The sequence below is a fragment of the Homo sapiens genome, chromosome 6 (genome assembly GCF_000001405.40).
Source record: "Homo sapiens chromosome 6, GRCh38.p14 Primary Assembly".
NCBI lineage: Eukaryota > Metazoa > Chordata > Mammalia > Primates > Hominidae > Homo > Homo sapiens.
In genome coordinates, this window is record NC_000006.12 from 109881574 (window position 1) to 109885016 (window position 3443).

Here is a 3443-nt window from a genome sequence, read left to right on the forward strand (position 1 = left end):
AGAAAGGGGCTCCCACAGGCCAGCCCAGAAAGGGGCTCCCACAGTGCAGCGGCAGGCTGAAGGGCTCCTCAAGTGCCACCAAAGTGGGAGCCCAGGCAGAGGAGGCACCGAGAGCGAGTGAGGGCTGTGAGGACTGCCAGCACGCTGTCACCTCTCATTTGGTTTTTTGTCCTTGTGATAGTTTGCTGAGAATGATGGTTTCCAGCTTCATCCATGTCCCTACAAAGGACATGAACTCATCATTTTTTATGGCTGCATAGTATTCATGGTGTATATGTGCCACATTTGTCAATTGTGTTTCTAATTGTAACTATCCTGGACATTTTGATATTCACAGACAATTGTTGTCTTGTTCTAATCCTTTTCATAGATGGTTTATGTTAAAATACCAAAATTGTTAGAAATAGATAATTGGTGCCATGAAGAAAAGTCAGCATGGAGACAAAAGATCTCTCAGCAAGGCAATCTTTACTTTCTGCAGAAAGGATGCTCAGTCGCAGATGGAACAATGGTGAGAGCACACCTGAACAAAGGAAAAGCAGACATATTTATCATTTATGCATTTGGGTCATCCTTACTGCTGTGTCCTGCATGCATTGGCTGGAGTTGGACCTCACACTCTTAAACTGATACCCTATTTGCTAATAACCTAAAACTTTCCTAAATAGGTAAGTGCAGGGAAGAACAAAGGAGGAGAGGGAGTTGCTTACAGAAGGTTTAAGGAAGCAATAACATTACCAAATAAGCCAGGGGCATAAGCTATGAGCTAAGACTTGCCTGGGCCTGTCCAGACATGCCTGAGTAAGCCAAAGCAACTAACTGGGCTAAAGTGTAAGAACTAATAGTTGATAGGAGGCTTTAGAGTAAGGAACTATTATTCCTAGTGTCTATTATTTTATTTTTAAACCAAGATGAGCTTTGAAGAAGAACTTTTCTACTCTCTACAGTTTATAATGAGCTATAGAACTTTAACAGGAGGTCTCAAATACAGGCTTCTGATAACTTTAGAGATTGTAACATTGGAATAAAGGAAAATGTACAAGACTCATGAAGAGCGGAAATGTTCACAAATATCAAGCAAAACAAGAGTTAACTAAATGGACTGAACTCAGAAAGCTGAAGCAACCTTTTTGTTTTTTGCTTGGAATATTGCTGATCCTTGTTTTGTTTTTCAAAGTCAAGGAAACTTATTTTAAACTATTTACCAGCTATACAAAATAGTTTCCTTCTTTATATCCTTATTCTATAAGCTTTTTTTCTGTTTTTAATTTTTAAAATATTCTTTACTTTGTAAACTTGTTTGTTAAAAATGAAAATGCAGGCTGGGAATGGTGGCTTATGCCTGTAATCCCAGCACTTTGGGAGGCCGAGTCAGGCGGATCACCTAACATTAGGAGTTTGAGACCAGCCTGACCAACATGGAGAAACCCCATCTCTACTAAAAATACAAAATTAGCCAGGTGTGGTGGTGCATGCCTGTAATCCCAGCTACTTGGGAGGCTGAGACAGGGGAATCACTTGAACCTGGGAGGCGGAGGTTGCAGTGAGCTGAGATCGGGCCATTGCACTCCAGCCTGGGCAATAAGAGCAAAACTCCATCTCAAAATAAATAAATAAAATAAATGAAAACCCAAACACACACATTAGCCAAGGCCTAATCATCAAGGTCAGGATCATCAATATCACTGTCTTCCACCTCCACATCTTGTCCCACTGGAGGTCTTCAGGGGCACTAACACATGTGCAGCTGTCATTTTCTATGTGATAATGACGCCTTCTTCTGGAATACTTCCTGAAGGTCCTGCCTGAGGCTGCTTTTCAGTTAACTATATGTATGTATTTATATGTAGGAATACACTCTAAAATAATGATTAAAAGTATAGTATATGAGTTTCAAGTCAAGACTCAATGTAAAAATATATGTAGTATAGTAAATACGTAAGCCAGTAGCATTGTCATTTATTATCATTACAGGTATTATGTACTGTATGTAATTATATGTGCTGTGCTTTTATATGACTAGTGATGCAGTAGATTTGTTTACATAGTTATTCCCGCAGGCACGTGGGTAATACATTGTGCTATGATGTTATGACGGCTAGGACATCACTAGGCAATAGGAACTTTTCAGCTTCATTATAATTTTGTGGGACCACCATCGTATATGTGGTCTGTGATTGACTGAAACATCATTGTATGGTGCCTGACTGGTCAACAGCCTGGGAGAGAGAAAGCATCCTCAAACCAAGAAGAGTTTTCTATTAAAGAGGAATGTTGGGAGAACAATATAAAAACTCATGGACATTAAAAATATGATAGGAACAGAAACAAAAAATAAACTGACTAACTGATGATTTAACTCTATGAAAAATAGCAGTCAGAGGAGTTCTATAATTTTGTTGGAGAATTTGTGAAGAATTTGTGCTAGTAATATAAAGTTAAGCTTAAATAAAATGTCAGTATCTATAGGAAAACACAAAAATGTTGTACAAGAAAGAAAATAGAATTATATTATTTGGCTTGGCAGTGAATAACAATTATGTGATCAAAATAGCAGAAACACTGAACATTGACTGAAAATGATTGTTATCACTGAGTTGGAAGGTGGGAAAGTGGCAGTAAGACATAAAATAAAACTGTCAAATCCTTATAATAAGAAGTCAATAATTAATGTATCAAGTTGATAAATTTGATGTTAAATCAAGTTAAGCCTACAGCTGCCTCCTTACATATTTTAAGTTCAGCCTAAAGGTTTCTTTGTTCATCATGAACTATAGCCTAAATGGAGTTTGATACAGACCGTAGCCAACTCTTGTACCAATTACTGAGTTTTGGGCAATCAAAGGTGGCCAAGTGTTCAAACCATGTTCAAATAAGGCAAACACCCAGGTATCACCAATCCAGGTGTTTCTGTAGCTCACTTCTGTTTTCTGTACATCACTTTCCATTTCCTGTCCATAAATATTCCACCACATAGCTTCACTGGAGTCTCTGAGCCTACTCTGGCTTAACATGCTGCTCAATTTGTGGATTATTCTTTGCTCAATTAAACTCTTAAAATTAATTTGGCTAAGGTTATTCTTTTAACAAATGGTGTGAGAAGTGAGATCTGAAGTAGAGCTTCTAACAACCCCCCTGAGCGCTGAGTGACCAAGTGAGGTACCCACCGGGCCCATTATGTACATTGCTCTCTCAGAGCAGCTGGAGATTGTGGTAAATTCCCTCTTGAATTCCAAAGCTCTATGGATTTGTATTTTGAGCTCTCTGAGTTTCTTTGAGCAAATTTCTGATCCAAACTGGGTTTGGAAGTCCCAACAGAAACTGGACTGGGTCCACGATTGAATTGGATCTGATAATTAACTGGCTTGAATCCAGTTAGATGACTCTTATGGAGGACTGAGTGGCAATACTGCAGGGGCTGTAGCTGTAAAATTTGGCTTTTG

The 3443-nt window shown here is 38.7% G+C and overlaps 1 annotated feature.

The window, feature by feature from the left end:
• Positions 270 to 1469: an enhancer, noted in NCBI's record as "MED14-independent group 3 enhancer chr6:110203046-110204245 (GRCh37/hg19 assembly coordinates)". NCBI's record gives its function as "activates an origin of replication core promoter dependent on BRD2, BRD4, P300/CBP and CDK7 cofactors, and independent of MED14, by STARR-seq in HCT116 cells {active_cell/tissue: HCT116}" and the evidence as "EXISTENCE:reporter gene assay evidence [ECO:0000049][PMID:35650434]".